This window comes from Homo sapiens, chromosome 12 (assembly GCF_000001405.40).
Source record: "Homo sapiens chromosome 12, GRCh38.p14 Primary Assembly".
NCBI classification, from domain to species: Eukaryota; Metazoa; Chordata; class Mammalia; order Primates; family Hominidae; genus Homo; species Homo sapiens.
In genome coordinates this window covers 46,955,205-46,973,357 of record NC_000012.12, presented here as the reverse complement: position 1 = coordinate 46,973,357, position 18,153 = coordinate 46,955,205, and the positions used below count along the sequence as shown (strand labels likewise).

Here is an 18,153-nt window from a genome sequence, read left to right as displayed (position 1 = left end):
TTCATATGAGACCATTTATTTGACTCAAAATTGTTTTGTTATTGTCTTTTTTCCCCATGATACTATTAAGTTGGAAATTAAATAGTTCCTTGGATATCCACTTAAGTAGACTGAAGAGTTTGTACCAATATGGAAATATGAGCAAGTTTCTACTATGGGGATTAAAATAATTGCCCAAATCCAATAATGCATGTGACAGAATGAGCAAGCTGTCTTCTCTCCTTGCTTTCCCAAGCACCTCCCGAAGAGGTTCATTCAAGGGTGATTACAGGGCTGTAAATCTGTGATGAGATGACCTTCCAGAGAATGTGTGTGTGTGTGTGTGTGTGTGTGTGTGTGTGTGAGAAAGAGAGAGAGATAGAGCTTGTGACCTAGTGTTGGTGAATACCTTTGAGGTGTGAAACATTACACCAACTCCTTACCCCTCTCCACCACCATTCTGGTATTCCTATAGTCAATCAGGCCAAGGAAAAGGTGAATGATCAGTCACTTTGTGTTTGAGAATCTAAAAAAAGTCACTGGCCTGCAAAGGGGAAGGCACTGCTTCTACAAGAAGTGGATGCTAAGGACTTGGAGGCCACCTTGAGTCTGAGAGATAACTGTGTCTATGAGTGGAAGCAGGGGAAACCTTGTCTAAATGGGCATCTGGTCAGTGTGGGGCAGGAGCAGAATACAGGACCTCATCTGCTGCCGCAGATCAGCCACCACATCGCCTCTGCGTGCACTTTTTCTACAATAGGAAAAGTTGTCATGTGATTTAGGGACTACTGTATTGTAGACTGAGAAACGTTAGAACACCATGTGTTGGGGTCCCAGGGAATGTTATGAATCATTCTACAATGATCCCAGTGTCTGAGGGGGTTGAAGAATGGGGTAGCAGGATATCACATCATCTCTTAGATCAAGGACAATCATCATCAATCAAAATATGCATCTAAGATTTGGGATAGGGAAAGGAACCATACAGACGTACAATGCAGGCAGGTCTTTATCACAGAACCTTGCCTTACTGATGGATACAGAAGTGAGGATACGTTATGTTTAATTAATGAAGAAAACAAATACCGTAGTGTTTGTATATTAGTTTTTAATTGCTATGTAACAAATCAACACCAGTTTAGCAGCTTCCAAAACACATCTTTATTATCTCATAGTTTTTTTGGTTAGGCACCATATGTGGCTTTACTGTACCCTCTGCTTAGGATCTCATGAGGCTGAAATCAAGGTGTTGGCTGAGGTCCTGGTTTCATCTGAGACTTGGGATCCTCTTCCAGGCTCATAGGTTGTTGGCAGTATAGTGGCCAAGGGTAATGTTCCCCTTAGCCCCTTGAAGGTTCGCTGAAAAATCAACTCATAAAAGCCTATTTACAGAAGAAAAGGCATACAAATTTATTTAACATGTAAGTAAACACGGGAGCCTTCAGAATGGGGGCAATTTTCCATTTTTATGCCTAGGTTCAGCAAATTATGGACAGCCGTGTCGAAATGGGATTGGACAAAAAAGGTACAATCAAATGCTAATAAACTGAATGGGAAACTCAGTAAGGCCTGTCTGTCTAGATTCTTCTTGGCTTCTCTGTGCAGTATTCCTTCCTTCTGGGTATAGGGCAGAACCCTCTCTGGAATGGGGGTCTTATCATCCACAGTTAAACAAGGTAAGTCAGATAATTTCTTTATGGCCAGTTTTTACGTAGACAGGGCAGAGGGAAAGTTAGAGTAACATTTTTAGGTTTATGGCTGCCTTTGGGGAAAAGGAGTTCTGGTTTCTATGGATAGCCTCAGGGGAGAATGGGACTGAGAGACAGAAGGGTAGGAGGTCAGAGAAGAACTTTTTCTTTCCAGGCTGCGTTTGAGGTTTCATTCTGGGATATTGTTTTCTGAGCCCCAACAGCAGAATTCAGTTCTTATAGCTGGAGGACTGCAGCCCTAAGTGGCCCTTTTCACAGCATAGCATTATGTTTCTACAAATCCAACAGGAGAGCATTTGTGCTGCTTTGAATCTCTCAGGGAAGGCCAGCACCCTCTTATCAAGAGCTCACCTGATTAGGTCAGGCCCACTTAGGATAATCTCCCTTTTGATTAACTCAGAGCCAAGTGAGTAGGGACCTTCATTACATCTGTGTAATCCCTTCACCTTTGTTATTCAATGTAACCCAATTACAGGAAAGAAATCTTATTATGTTTATAAAATCCCTTACCTGTGAAAAGAGAGGAAATTGTACAGATGATTCCAGGGGTCTGCCATCTTGGGGACCATCTTAGGAGGATGCCTAACACAGTTGGAGATGAAAGCAGCTAAAGAATAACGAATTCTTCTTGGATTCCACAAGGCTTCATTCTAGTCCAATTTTCTCAACTACAAACAATTATAAACTCTACCTGGAGGAGAGTATTGAATGAATTAGTTTGAAAAATAAAGAAAAACAACTTCTCAAAAATGTATGTATAGAGAGCAATCAAGGGAAAGGAAAAATAAAAACAGGATAGCACATGGAAGACAACGGAAAAGTTATGCTGCTGAGTCAGACACAGTTACAAAAGTGGCCTTATTTTTTGCTCTAAGGTTTCCAGCAGCTAAAGAAGGAAACAAGACCACATTCATCCCCTGTATACAAGATACCAGATGTTTAGTAGAAACCGTGTTTTAAAACTCAGGTGGATGTGCAGAATGGTGAAGCCGTCGCACCGATGCCCTCTAAGGAACATGATTCTAAAGGCCAAACAATTAAATTAATACACAATTCTCTCTCCTTGATTGATTTTCTGTAAGAAAAACTTCTAGAAGTAAAATGAGTGGCTTCATATTCTCCTGACTTTTTTTTTTTTGGTGAATATTTCTTAATTTTTACAAAAAGTGAGCAGCAGGGAATTTGAGATTATGTTCTTTAGAAAGATTCTTCCATTTCGTTATTCCATTCATTTTCTCCTGATTTGTCAGACCTCTCTTGACCTTTTTTTCCCCCCTTTCTAACCTGGATTCTGTGATCCGGCCACTTGCCAGTATCTTCCAGGATCTTGCTTTCGCTTGCTCTTCACTGCAGATTCATGGCCTGTGAACTCGGCTAAACCTTCATCTTCTCACATATTCCTAGTCAATTCTCACAATTTCCACAAGAGAAAGGAAAAGTCACTCAGCAATATTTCACTCAGCAATATTTTGCACTGGAAGTTTTGTGCATAGCCTTGCTTATTTATTATGCAATATATATATATATATGCACAAATCTACACAAATCTACATTTAGATTTAAATTCTGATATTTAGATTTAAATTAATTAATTAGATTTAAATTAATATATATTTAGATTTAAATTTTGATATTTATCAGAATGGAATCATACTACGTAAACTCTTTTGCTACCTGGAACTTTCATTTAACAATGGAGAGTTTCCATATCAACAAATATGGAAAATCATTAGTAATGGCTATATGATATTCTATTATTTTAATGAAGTATAATATATTTAACCAAAATTTTGCTTTGGGCTGAGTACAGTGGCTCACATCTGTAATCCCAGCACTTTGGGAGGCCAAGGTGGGCAGATTACTTGAGCCTAAGAGTTCGAGACCAGCCTAGTCACTAGCAACATAGTGAGACCCCGTCTCTACAAAAAATTAAAACAACTGGACATGATGGTGCTCACCTGCAGTTTCAGCTACTCTGGAGGCTGAGGCAAGGAGAATTGCTTGAACTCAGGAGATCAAAGCTGCAGCAAGCCATGATCATGTAACTGCACTCCAGCATGGGTGACAGAGCAAGACCTTGGCTCAAAAAAAAATTTTTTTTCTTTTTATTTAGAACATTTCCAAGTTTTTTCTATTAAAACAATGCTGCAGACAAGTCCTATTCTTTGTGCACTTGTTTGACTGATAGAATAAATTCCCTGAAGTTGAATAAGTGGATCAAAGATATGTACCTTATAAGGATGTTGATACATATTGTCAAATTTTCCTCCAGAAAGTTTATACCAGTTTACTCCCATGACAGGCTGAATAATAAACCCCCTTCTCCAAAGATGTCCACATCTGAATCCCCAGAACCTGTGAATATGTTACCTTATGTTATAAAAGGAACTTTGAAAATATGATTACGTTAGGGATTTTGAGATGGGGAGACTATCCCATACTATCTGGGTGGGCCCAGTGTAGTCACAAGGGTTCTTAAAAAAGGGAGGCAGGAGGGTCAGAGTCAGAGGGAAACAGGTTGGAGTGATAAAGGAGGGGTCAGGAGCCAAGAATCAGAGCCGACTCTAAATGCTGGAGAAGGTAAGGAAATGGATTCTCCTCTGGAGCCTCCAGAAGAAACAGCCTGGCTCATCCATTTTAGACTTCTGACTTCGGAACTGTAAGAGAATAAATTTGTGTTGCTTTAAGTCATGAAGTTGTGGGTAAATTGTCACAGTGGCAATAGGAAACTAATATAGTCCCCAAAAGAGTATATGACAGTTCTTACTTTTCCACATCCACACCGTCACACTATTGTCATTCCTTTTCACCTGTTGTTTATTCTGAGTAAAAAGTGGTAGCTCATAGTTTCAACTTGTATTTCATAGAATATTATTCAATTTGAAAAATTTTCAATGTTTATTTGCCATTTTAATTCTTTCTTTGGTCAGTTGCCCAGTCATATCCTTTATCTGTGTTTCTATTTGAATGTGTATTTTCTTCTGCATTAATTTGTAATGGTTTATTGTACAGAGAATGTCAACTGTTTTGCCACATATGCTGCAATTTTTTTTCTGATATTTTATTTGTCTCTTGTTTAAAGTGTTTCCTCATATTTAAAAGGGTTCCATTTTAATTGTCATGTTTGGAATGTTCTTCCCTAAATTTATCAAAGTATTTATTTGTTTTTTTAGTACTTTCATGTTTTTATTTTAAAGATAGCCCAATGCAAGGATGCAGAGAAATGGGAACATTTATACACTGTTGATGAAATGTAAATTAGTACAACCTCAATGGAAAATGGTATGAAGATTTCTCAAGGAACTAAAAATAGAACAACCATACTATCTAACGATCCTACTACTGGGTACCTACCTAAAGGAAAATAAATCATTATATTAAAAAGGCACCTGCACTTGTATATTTATTGCAGCACTATTCACAATAGCAAAGATATAGAATCAACCTAAGTGTCCACCAGTAGACTATTGGATAAAGAAAATGTGGTATATAAACATAAAAGAGAATGAAATCATGTCTTTTGCAGCAATGTGGATGCAACCAGAGGCCATTTTCTTAAGTGAAGCAACGCAGACACAGAAAGACAAGTACTGCATATTCTAACTTATAAGAGGGAGCTGAATAATGTGTGTACTTGGAAGTAGAGAGTGGAATGTTAGTGGAGGATCTAAAGGGTGAGGGGCATGGGAAGGAGGTGGATGATGAGAAATTACTTAATGGGTACCATGTACATTACTTCAGTGATGTGTACACCAAATGCCTTGACTTCATCACTATGCAATATATAACAAAATTATACTTGTACTCATAAATGTATACAAATTTTAAAAAGTATCCATAAGTGTACACAAATTTTAAAAAGTAAAGATAGCCAACGCAGTTCAAAGTGTATAAAATATTCATTCGTATGGTTTCATATCCCATATTACAACTAATTTTTAAGAAAATCACTTAAATTTTGTTGTAATGTCGAAGAAGGATACTCAACAGTTCTCCAAAGATTATTAAAATACTCCTTCTTCAACTATATAGCTGTGTGATTGTGGCTTATTTTTACATTTAAATCTCACAGCTGTTTTCCTCTTCATCCAAATTTGTGAGGCCCCAGTTACTTGTTCTTGCTTTATTTTTTCTTTACAGGCAGTATTTCACTCTGTTGCCCAGGCTGGAGTGGATTCATGCCTAGCTGACTTTTAAAATTCTTTTAGAGAGGGGCCAGGGAGAGGAAGTCTTGCTATGTTGCCCAGGGTGGTCTTGAACTTCTGGCCTCAAGCGACCCTCTCACCTCAGCCTCCTGAGTAGCTAGGATTATAGGCATGAGCCACTTCTTCTGGCTTGTGAAATTCAAGTTCAATTTTTTGCAAAGCTACTTCGGAGGTGGGATCGTGAACATTCAACAGGAGGTATGTATTATCTGTTTGCCTCTCTTGGCACCCTATGGAAGAGTCTATCACAGTTTTATTATACTTCATTGCAGTTTTATATGTAGTTGCCTCTCTCCCTTTCAAGGCTGTAAAGTCTTTGAAGACAGTGCCAGTGTCCTCAGCATCTAGCTTAATGTCTGGCACGGTGACCAAATAAATCAAGGACACTCCTATGAGATTTATCATGTCATATAGCGTAATTTTTACCAACCCCTCCAGGAAAGTTAGTTGCAAAATATTTTCTTAAATAATTAAGGGAGATAAGCTGTTGTATACCTGTTGGAAAAGCTATTAAAGTTTGGACAACTTCTCTTCCAAAAATGACAATGAGGGCTTAAAGCTGCTGCTCATGTCCCATTTATTATTAGCCAGATAGCGAAAATCTCTCTTTTTAAAATTTTTATTAATTTATTCATTTTTATTATACTTTACATTCCAGGGTACGTATGCACATTGTGCAGGTTTGTTACATATGTATACATGTGCCATGTTGGTGTGCTGCGCCCATTAACTCATCATTTACATTAGGTATATCTCCTAATGCTATCCCTCCTCCCTCCACTCATGGGTATCTCTCTTAAAACTGCTGCTAGTTTGGGGCAATCTCTCTGTTCATATAACCAAGGACCATTTCGACATATGAGGAAACTGAGTTTCAGAGAGGTTTAATCACTTGCCTTAATGACATAGCTAATACTTCGTAGAGCTTAGGGCTTAGATCTAGGTCTTCAGACTCCAATTACAAGGCTTTTTTTTCCCCAGGATATTGATTGGCTACTGAGCGGCTCCCACATTAGGTGGGCTTTAACAAATGATAAGGCACAAATACTAGTCTCCTTTCAACCCTGGAGTAAAGCTCATCAAATCCACCTGCAGGGCTAGATAACTCTGAGCAAAGAGAAGCCCCAAAATAAAACTAATCGGCAACAGGAGTTTCTCAAGGCTGTGGCAATGAGCAAAAAGCCCCTCAACTTGATGCATTGTTTTAAGAGAGAAAAAAATAAGTGATTCAAAAATCTGCCATTGTAAAAAGCCTCAAAATTATAACCTGCTGGCTGCCCTTGGCCATGGGGGCAGTCTGGGCTGCATAGCAGTGGAATCCCTCCCTCAGTAGCTGGGCTTCATGCCTGAGCACCTGCCAGCACTCACTTCACACATAAACTAACTGCGTTGCCACACTGGATGCTTGACCTGTGTCTCGTGTCCTCACCTGAAGTAGAAACTACTAAATCAGGATCCTCCCTCTGGCTGCACCAGTGTGAGCTCTGCAAAGATCATCTCAATGGATCCTGAAGTGTTCCCGATTTGGCGCCAAAGCTTATCCTGAATAGTTTCATTAGCTTGCAATCATGAGAAGCCAAGCCATTCCAAGCATAAAGGCCAACAAAGACAGCTCTCTGACTTATTCCCCAGAGGCTCCTAGTAATGCTTCAACCATTTAAAAAAACCAGTGGCACCCTCACATTTGGACCAGGCCATATAATGATCTGAGTACATGATACTTGAGGGAGAATACAGCGTATGCTAAAAGAACAAACCAAAACTGAAAAACAAACTCAATCTGGAGGTTTTCAAGAGGGTTCAGTGTGACATTACAACAGAATCACAGTGAGTGCCATGAGGAAGTACACTCTATGTAACTTTCCTCTATACTTTTCAGCTATTAGCTTTTATAGAACCCAAACTTTAAAAGTCTTCAGTTTTTTTATGCACAGGTTGGGTGTCTGAGTTGTTTGAGAATGGGTAACACGAGACAATAATGTATGTTAAACAGCTTTGTCTCCACTAAGAAGTTCCTCTGAACTCCTGGAGTCAGGCTCTTCGTTCACTGTGGCCTCATAGCATCCAGTTTATGTAATATTGTGCTATCATCCATATTGCACAGAAGTTACACACAGGTGTAGCTAGTGGTTATGTGTCACCCTCAGAAAAAGCAGGACTCATGTGCTATTCTTCTCTGTTGACCTTCAGCTAGAATAATGCCTGGCACTTAAGAAGTATGTGTTGAATGAATGCTGTTACCTCCACTGAACTACTTTATACACATGATTTCTTCTTTTATCACTTCTGCTTCCATGAATCTGATTACTTTTAGAGAACAGGAAACTTCCTAAAGTAATTTTCACTTAATTACTGAAGAATAGTACTCATCACAAAGTTGTCTTTTCCACTAAAACAAAAATTACAGACTTATTATAGAACAGTCTAAAATGTGACAGTGAAATCTGAATAGAGGTAAGGTTGGCATTTTTCTTCTCTGGAAATAAATCCAGGTTCATGATTAATACAAAGTAAGATAAGGACCAGGACAGTCATCATTGCTTGTCCTGACATTTCCCGAAGGCTGGTTAGTTTCTGAACCACTTCAAGGCTTGGTGTGCTCTCCAGGGCAAGCCGGGGGTCAGCTGAGGAATCCTGCCCTAAATACAACTTTCTTAGGATAATCCTTCTGATTATCCTAAGACACAGGCAGCTCTGACAAGACAAGAGCCTAGGCAGCCCTGAACCAGAGCTCCCTAATCAGGGCAAGGAAGTTTCGTTTCACATCCTAATGCGAAGAGAATTCCTGGAATGTTGGAATGAGAAAACGTGGTGCTGGGCTTGGCGGTAACTTCGCGATAGATGAATAGCAGCCACCGTGGATTCAAGTGGGGAAGTGGTGGCACGGGGCTGGATATCACCATCCTTGACTCCATTGCTTCACATTGTGGAAAAACTTTGTTACATATGGATCTTAATCATCTCAGCCTTGAGGAGTGCAGAGATGAGAGTTCCCACAGAATACCCTACATTCACACTCCCTTGTCAAAAATAATCAACGTAATTTTCATAAAGAAATGACTGGGAGCTGAGAACAATAATATGTTCTAGTACAAATCCTTCTCAATGTGCCCTTGGGAGGTTTGGCTGAATGCAATCCCCACAGAAGCCTTCAGTATGGAGCCAGTTCTTAAAACCAGTTGTTGCCTATTTGATTGATTCATTGATTGCACCAGTCACTGACCTGTGCATGGCAGTGGGGGAGTTGCTCTTTGGCAGTCAAGGGAAATAATAATAGGAAAGCTGCCAAGATAAGGCATCTGGCAGAACTTGTTGAAACTCTATTTCTAGAACTTGGAATGCACGCTGACCTCAAAGGCACCAATTCCTCTTCGTGCCCTTAAGTGGAATTGTTTGTAATCTTTGACCCAGTATGACCTATGCAGGTACTACACTCCGGCATATTCCAGATATTTGCTTTCCACATGTGGAGACTTCATTTCCACCTCCACCTCCCTCCCCTCCCCATGGTGATGGATCATTTATATAGACATATGGGAGAGGAAAAAGTTGAAATTCTCAAAATAAAAGCAGAATAGGCTAGGCATAGTGGCTCATGTCTGCAATCTCAGCACTGTGGGAGGCTGAGGTGGGAGGATCGCTTGAAGCAAGGAGTTTGAGACCAGCCTGGGCAACAAAGTGAGATCCCTCTACAAAAAAACAAAACAAAACAAAAACATTAGCCAGGCACAGTGGTGTGCACCTCTAATCCTAGCTACTCAGGAGGTTGAGGTAGGAGGATTGCTTGAGCCCAGGAGTTCAAGGCCACAGTGAGCTATGATCATGCCACTGCACTTCAGCATGGGTGACAGGGTGAGACCCTTCCTAAAAAAAAAAAAAGCAGAGTATTGACAATGTCATTTTTGACTTTGAAGTGAGCCATATAAGTGTCACATCACATGAGTGCAAGGAACACTGACATACTTCTTCAGCTGCTGCACATGAGCCTTACTTTAAAAATATCCATATGTAGCCTTGACTGTCTTTCGCTTTCTTCACACTTCAATCCTTTACTCCAAACATGTGATTAGTTCTGCAGCAGATACTTCTGCTTGATTCCAAATTATATCTCTAGAATGGCATTTTTTCTTAGCAGCTCCCACCAGCTGCTAGTAAGCATGCATAAGAGATAACAGGGAACAAGGATGAGAGTTCTTTGTGCTAACTCTTATGAGAATGGAAGAAAGCCACCTTACAACTTAGGACTGCATGAAAAAAGAAATGCTGAATAAAACAAATCAAATGCACACAGCAGAAGTTTCATAAATTTCATGACAATAATTTAATGTAAGAATTATTGTTAAGACTTATTGATAAACATCCAAGCTGAGTTGAATTGAATTGAACTGAATTTGGTTACTGAATTGAGCTAACACTTGTCCTGACATTTCCTGAAGGCTGGCACTTTCTCTGAACTCCTTACAGTCTGCACTAAGATTGCAGGTGATCTCTTATTTTCTTTTATCCTCTACCTCCTCTACCAAAAGTTGTCCATAGTATCAAGAGATGAAGCCCATGCAATATCTGGGGACAGATCCTAGCTGACACTCATGAATTCTGTATATGGGAGGTCTGAATAGGGAATCAAGGTCTCTGTTTCACAATTTTTCCCAAGTTCACAGAGAACTGACACACTGTTTTTAGGAGAACCTCATCTTTTTGAGAGATCAGATTTGTCTCATCTAAGAACAAGTCTCAACAGAAAGGTTCGGACTTCTTGAGAGGTCTTCTAATGTCTCAAAGTAGCAAAATGTAATGGGCAAATTCATGTACCTTCAGAATTCATGTAGGTGATAGTCTGATATTTCTTTTTGTTTCCTGAAGACAAATGTCTTTATAAAATATTAACTCATCTATACAAACCTGACTATGTGAAATGAATGTTTAATCTGTAAAATATATTATGAAGAGTATAGCAGCTGCTTCCAATGTTATCGGAGTATAATTGATTTTAATTATTTAGGTATTTCAGGTTTTACTTCCTGGATGATTAGGAGAGAACTAATGTTTGCATGGAGAATGAGTGTGGGCCAAGAAGTAGATAAAGGAAGTGAATGGAGAGCCTTCAATAGTTCTCTAGATTGTGAGAAGCTGCTGAATATTCAATAACGAGGTCAATTCTACCTGTGCAGTGGTCCTGGTTCTGCCCTCTTCTTTCCACTGCCCCCACATAAGTCATCATTACCTCTTGCTGGACTGTTGTGATAGTCATCCACCTGGCCTTCCAGGATCTTTTATGTCCTGTCTTGAATCAATCCTGTATCAATCATTTATCCAAGAAATATGTAACAAACATCTACTTTGTAGGTAGCAGGGTTTTTTTAAAATGCTGTCACAGGGCTCTTTAGAGGGATTTCAAACACTATCACAGGGATCTTTAGAGGGAAAAGGCTTTAAGATACACCCACCCATTCAATTGGCTTTTTTTTTTTTTTTTTTTTTTTTTCTGAGACGGAGTCTTGCTCTGTCACCCAGGCTGGAGGGCAGTGGTGCAATCTCGGCTCACTGCAAGCTCCGCCTCCCGGGTTCACGTCATTCTCCTGCCTCAGCCTCCCAAGTAGCTGGGACTACAGGCGCCTGCCACCACGCCCAGGTAATTTTTTTTTTTTTTTTGTATTTTTTGTAGAGACGGTGTTTCACCATGTTAGCCAGGATGGTCTCGATCTCCTGACCTCATAATCTGCCTGCCTCGGCCTCCCAAAGTGCTTGGATTACAGGCGTGAGCCACTGCGCCCAGCCCTGAATTGACTTTTAAAGAGAATTACCTAATGGGGTGTTCTGTTTCCCAAATTCCCAGTGGGATCTATGAGTAGGAGTGTGTTGTGTGTGTGCGTGTATATGTGTGTGTGTCCCCTCTAGGTAAGGACCTGATACTACTTTGCTTTCTTCTCTGAAGAAGACAAAAATATTTTCAATTATTTATAACACTACACTAGTAAAAGCCTGTGATCCATAAAGAGAAATTCGATATCATTTTGTCCTTCCGATTCCCCATATAACTGCCATCATTTTTCCAGTTAATTCCAAAGGATCTAACGACCTTTTTCCTCACAGAATCTCTTGTCTTTTCAAATTTTATTTTATTTGACATATATTTATGTCCTTTTTCAAAAAACAGCCTTGAGGATGTTTTCAAATATAGATGTATATACATTATTTTGAACAATTTTAAAGTTATTCTGGGATGACTTTTATTTCTCCATGTAAATTTATAAATCTGGAAGGCTTTGTTGTGTGTTTGTGAATAACGACTAGCAGTTTTAAGAATCTTTTTTTGATCTTAAGAGGTTTATTCAATAAGTTGCCTATAATAGATGCCTTAGGAGAAATACTTCATTTGTATTCTAAGATTGCACGTTGCCTTATTTACGTTTGTTGAGAAATGAGAGCTATCTGCTTGGGATCAGCCAAGAAGTACGGTGGAGAGGGCTTAGGTTCTGAAGGAGACTTGGACTTCAATGCAGTGTCAGCCTCTGGCTGGCTCCATGATCTCCTGGGAGAGGCACTTCAGATCTGGGTGCTTTCCTTTCCTCCTCTGTGAAACATCACAGATTGCTGCTAAGGTAGGTGAAACTGCTCTGTGAACCTTGAAATATTCTGTGAGACATGCGCTGCTTAGGAGAAGGGGTGCCTTGAGCCAGTGATGTTCTTGCTAAACTAGTCATCTGTTCCTGATAGTAAAGAAATTGAAGCAAGTAAAGAAATTGAGGCAAGTTCTCCCCACTCCTACTTCTTCCTACCCAGATGAAATAAGTCTCCTTGCAGACATACTCTACAGGTATTGACTACAAGTATTTAATGGCTACAAATATTAAGAAGTGCTTTTTAAAAAGCATTAACATCACCCCTCAATCAATAAATTATTGAAGCTAATTGGTAAATCTGAAGAGACTTTGGTATAAATAGGCAAACATATTTTGGCCACGCTTGGTAATGAATACACCACTTATACCCTGGCCACTTTTTCAAGTCTTGCTTTAAGTTTTGTCCTTTTGCCTTCCACACTTTTTGGCACGATGCTAATAAGAGATATCCACAAGGCAGCCACCAGTATGTAGGATTACTTGATTACTTACCCATACTCGAGAAAATGTGCAAAATATGCAAAAAATCTAAATAAACAGTATTCAACAAAATTGACCTCTTTTTATTTCTTGGAGTTACAATATTCTGGCCTTTCAAGAAAATGGTTATTCAACAGATGAAGGATAACGAACCACTATTACACAGGAATTAAAACCTGCTGGCTAGACAGAAACTCAAGAGAAAATAAAATCTTTCTTTCCAGCTTTAGAATTGAATCCATGCATTGATCTAACCACAGACTTTCCCAAAGACCTGTGAAGTTTATTAATGAAAAATCAGATTGTGGGAATAGTAAGAATTTTTTTTAGACAATGTATACTGCTCTATCTCCATGCTACTTCTCATATTTAAAAGTCATTACATTAATTGTTATTTTTATGTTTCAGCATGTGCAGGTCAACATAATCTTTTTAAATATAATGTCAGGTGAAGTTGTTTTCTTTAAAAATTGACTGGCACATGTTTCCACCTACTTGTTTACTTCTGTCTTCTTTCCTCAGTGGGGTGATGTGTTATCTGGGGACATTTTGGTCACCGTCAATTCTTTTTCCTTTTTGTCACTCTAACTGCCTGCTTGAATTTCACAAGCTGCTGACTCAGACCACTATCATCTTCCTTGAAGTCTAGCCTTTGCCAACAAGCCCAGCTTGGCTATTTTTATAAGCCATGTCAACCAGTTGTTTGAATGGATCAGCCCATTCCATCATAGGAATTGACCTGGTTACTCCATAGGCACAAGGAGATGAGAAGGGAGGGGGAATGGGTGAGAAAAGGAACCTAAGCTGAGCAATGCAGAAGCCATTGAATTGTGACTTCCAAGAACTTAAAAATCACTGATTAGTCAGCCACTCGTTGGAGGAAAAAAGTAAGATAAGACTTTAATCCCTGAGGACTTATTTCTAGTATTTGTTCTATAGGAAGAAATAGAAGTGCCATAGTTTTCAGTCTCTCTTTCAGTCATCCCTTTTCTCTCTTATTCCTCTATTTATTCATGCCAATCACGGTGTTGAGAGCTAATGAAGAGTTGAGGTGGGGCAGAGGTGAGGGTGATTCAAACGTAAATGAACATAAGTCCTGCTCTTCAGGACATTCCCCACCTGTAAAGGAATGAAACACACACAAATATAAATTGCCATGATGGGCAGGTTACCACTGTCCTTACTGCCAGCACTGCCCCAGCCCTGGTTGTCCCTCTGTTCCATGAGCCCTTTTTCTGTAAAATGCTTGAAGATCCCATGTCTCCCACAGTTCTGGACACACAGCAAATGAGCAAAAGAGCTGCTTGTGTTTCATTGGTTTAGTAACACTCCATTTCTTTTCTCTGATTATTAAATGAATTTGCATATATTTAGTTGGCCTATGAGATATTAGACCTGGAAATGTTACAAAGTAATTTTACCTGAATTTAGTAGATTTAATATTTTAAAAAATGTCCCCATCTTCCACCCCCAAATTAATCATTTTAGTAGTCAGGGACAACTGTTATATAACACAGTCTTCTTAGCTGCTCAAAGGTCAACAGTTAATGATTGATAGATCAGGAGCATCTCTGAATTTTGAAATCATGGAGTGTGATCCACATGGGTGCTATGATTCAGATGACCTGCACCCCTAGGCCTCTTTATTTTAAAAATATACTTTTACTTCAAATAAACATACTGCTCTTTTAAGTTCTTTGTCTTATTAAGACAATATTAACATAAGTTACCAAGCTGTACGAAGCTTATGTTGACTTCACATTTGAAAATTTGACATTAACTTGAGCATTTAACAATTCAAAACATTTTCTGGTCACATGCAAAAAGTTAAATTGGGGTGACAAATTCTAATGAAATAAAGACAATTCACAAAGGTTCCTGTCACAATTTTTTCTTGAGAGCAAGGGCACTGCATAGTTGAATTTCTTGGCTCTAAAGATGAACACGGTGTGATAGCTATGGAATTGGATAAGCCAAGAAAGCCTAGGGGTTAAATAGAAAATCTTGTGGGTCACGAGTTCTTTGAAATAAACCATTCTATAAAGGAACAAGGGTTTACTTATTATCCATGTGCACAAAGCTGCCAGGAAGAAGTGTTACGGTCATTTATTCCTGTAAATCCCCACAGTGATGGATTTTCCATCAGGTTGACAGATTGCTTTTTTCTCTCTCTCCAACTAAGACACAGGCACATCCTCTTCCACTTGTAGGATGGGGCCATTATCCATCTGTGAAGCTGGGCCTCACAAGGTCTTACTGAAATAGGAATAACTGTCAAATGAAATGTTTGAAGGATTCCTTCAGAAAAAACAAATGGTAGCAGTGTTATCCTCTCCTGAGGCTGGTTGAGAGGCAGTGAAGCAGGTGTGTTTTGAGGGGCACAGATAGGGCGGGGCCTGAAGAGGGCTGGCTGGCCATCCAGAGAGGTCCTCACGAAGAGATGTTTTTCTCAGTGAGCCTGTCCACTGCTTTCCAGGGGGATGACCTTAGACTTGTAAGCTCTTGTCTTAGTTCATTTGGGCTACTATAACAAATTATCATTAACTGAGTAGCTTATAAACAACATTTATTTCTCACAGTTCTGGAGGCTGGAAAGTCTAAGATCAAGGTGCCAGCAGATTCAGTGTCTGGTGAGGGCCCATTTTCTCATTCACAGATGATGATGCCTTCTTGCTGCATCCTCCCATGGTGGAAGGGGCTAGCTAGCTCTCTGGGGCCTCTTTTCTTAAACGCACCATTCACATGCATGAGGGATCTGTCCTCATAATCTAATCACCTCCCCAAAGCCCCATCTCTCAATACTATCCCATTGGAGGTTTGGTTCCAACATATAAATTTTGGGAGACACCAGCATGATGTGGATGATAGCAGCTCTGAAACTCATCGTAACCCAACATTCTTTGGACTTAAAGATGAGACCTTTAGCTAACAAAACTTACCATGAGGTAGAAACACAGAATTCCAGTGTATTAGATTTTAAAGGGAAATGTGACTGTCAAGGAGATCTCACATTTAGGTCAGTCTGATCAGTGCAAAGTACCTGAGACATTTACTTTGGGGAATCAGGAGAGTTGGTTATGTGAAAAGAATGTGCAACAAACATCAACTCTGGCAGTGTGATGTATCCATCACTATAATAAGAATATGCTGGCCAGGGAGCCTGGGTAAATCCACTTCTTGTTGCATGACTTGGACACACACAATTCAAGTTTGCTTGCAATCTTAATGTGACTTTAAATATCTCTCTTTACTCCAAATTATGCTGGACTTACGTCATAGCTTAACTCTCAAAGAGCATTCTCACTTTCCTTATTTCTAGGTTTTAAGGACCATCCCTGTCTCACCTCCATGGACTGTCTACAATATGCATGGTCAAAAAGTAGACCCGTTCTGCAACCGGACAGCAGAGAAATGTGTCTGTGATACCCACACAGTCAAGAGGCACACTTAAAATAGCATCAGACCCTAAAAAAAGATAGGAAATGACCACAGACCAGTGGGCCAGACAGCACATGTATCCTCTGTCCAGGACCCATGGCCACTGTTGGCAGGCCTACCACTGAGGCAAATCCTACTAGGAGGTGGAAGTCATGAAAAGAGTTTTTCCACATTCCTTTCTGTGATCTACAGTAAAAACCTCAGGGAGATATTGAATCATCTGCTGTTTTTTACAACCCCAATTAAACAAAATTTTCTGCACCTCCTTCTCCTTCCGCATTCTTCCCCCCACCCAGTTTCCTTCTTCCCCCTTTTCGTCAATGGAGTGGTGTGGAGGAGGGTAACTGAAGCTAGGTTGGGGATTTGTTCCCAGACCACAGGAATTAGAAACAATTTAAACAAATGTTTAAATTATCAGGATCCTCTTTGTTTCTAGCTTAACTAAGAATTGCAAACGGTATCTATGAAATTTCTCTTTTTCACTTCCCATGTGCTGTTTCCAATGCAGTTTCATGAAGACACATACACAAAATCTTCTAAAATCCTTGTCTTTTCACATCACACCAAACAGTAATACTGTTGATTACACAGGTAAAACTTGCCTCAAAAGATGTTTTGTAGTCGATATACATTAAACCAAAGCAGAGTATTTTGGGGACCCTTAACACCTAATTTTTTTTTTTTTGTTAATCAACACTTTCATGTTTTCTTGAAGCTAATATCAGTTTAGGTGCTTATCACTGTGCAAGGCAATATGATTCTAATCAAGCCAGCAAACGTAACTAAGAAGGCCTGCTGCCTGTTGCTAGAGGGCTCGGAGGGCCTTCAGATGCCAGTGAGACCCCAGCCTCAGCTGGTGTCCTGGTTCAAAAGAATTCGGGGATGAGTCCGAATGATGCGAAAGGCAAGAAGCTTTGATTCCAAAAATGAAAGTACACAGTTGAGAGAGAAGTGCAGGCGTGCTGACGAGAACAAATCACACACAATTAAGTTTAGGTTTTTAATTTTATGGGTGTTTCTTTAATTAGGGGGTGGAATAATCATTCTGGAAAAGGAGAGGATTTCGGGGACCCTTGTTACCATCCCCTTTTTCTCTTTTTCGGGTTTGCCAGAAAGAGTCATAGATATGTCAACCTGACCAGGATTTTGGCCATTTGTTGTCCCTTCTTTTGGGTTTTCCATCAGCCCATGGTTTATTTGCCTAGTTATTGTTTTAGCTGTGGTTGGGGGTTTTCTATCCTCCTGTGCCTGCCCAGTGCTATTCCTATTTCAGACCCATCAAGTGCATTATGAAAGCAATATTTGCATACATTTGGAAATACTAAGGTCTCATCTCCAAATTATTGAAATCCATAATTTCAGATCAATCAAACTAAATAGTCATACCCTAGGAAGTTCTGTCTCATAAGAATAAAGCAAATGTGGCACATATACACCATGGAATACTATGCAGCCATAACAAAGGATAAGTTCATATCCTTTGCAGGGACTTGGATGCAGCTGGAAACCATCACTCTCAGCAAACTAATACAGGAACAGAAAACCAGACACCACATGTTCTCACTCATAAGTAGGAGTTGGACAATGAGAACACATGGACACAGGGAGGGCAACATCACACACCGGGACCTGTCAGGGGGTGGGGGGCTAGGGAAGGGATAGCATTAGGAGAAATGCCTAATATAGATGACGGGTTGATGGGCGCAGCAAACCACCATG

General features: G+C 39.8%; 2 long non-coding RNA genes across 3 annotated transcripts; one reads left to right on the top strand and one right to left on the bottom strand.

The window, feature by feature from the left end:
• Nucleotides 1–1,067: 1,067 nt before the first annotated feature.
• On the bottom strand, nucleotides 1,068–3,266 carry LOC107984466 (uncharacterized). The gene is made up of 3 exons (XR_001749082.2): nucleotides 2,973–3,266; nucleotides 2,199–2,379; nucleotides 1,068–1,361 (listed from the first exon to the last, which is right to left on the bottom strand). It is a non-coding gene; the product is annotated as an uncharacterized LOC107984466 (long non-coding RNA).
• An 8,217-nt stretch (nucleotides 3,267–11,483) lies between these two features.
• LOC124902925 (uncharacterized) lies at nucleotides 11,484–16,695 on the top strand. 2 transcript variants are annotated; one of them, XR_007063287.1, is made up of 2 exons: nucleotides 11,484–11,525; nucleotides 16,316–16,695. It is a non-coding gene; the product is annotated as an uncharacterized LOC124902925 (long non-coding RNA). The 2 variants fall into 2 exon arrangements; XR_007063286.1 differs by lacking the exon at nucleotides 11,484–11,525 and adding an exon at nucleotides 12,294–12,495.
• Nucleotides 16,696–18,153: the final 1,458 nt, after the last annotated feature.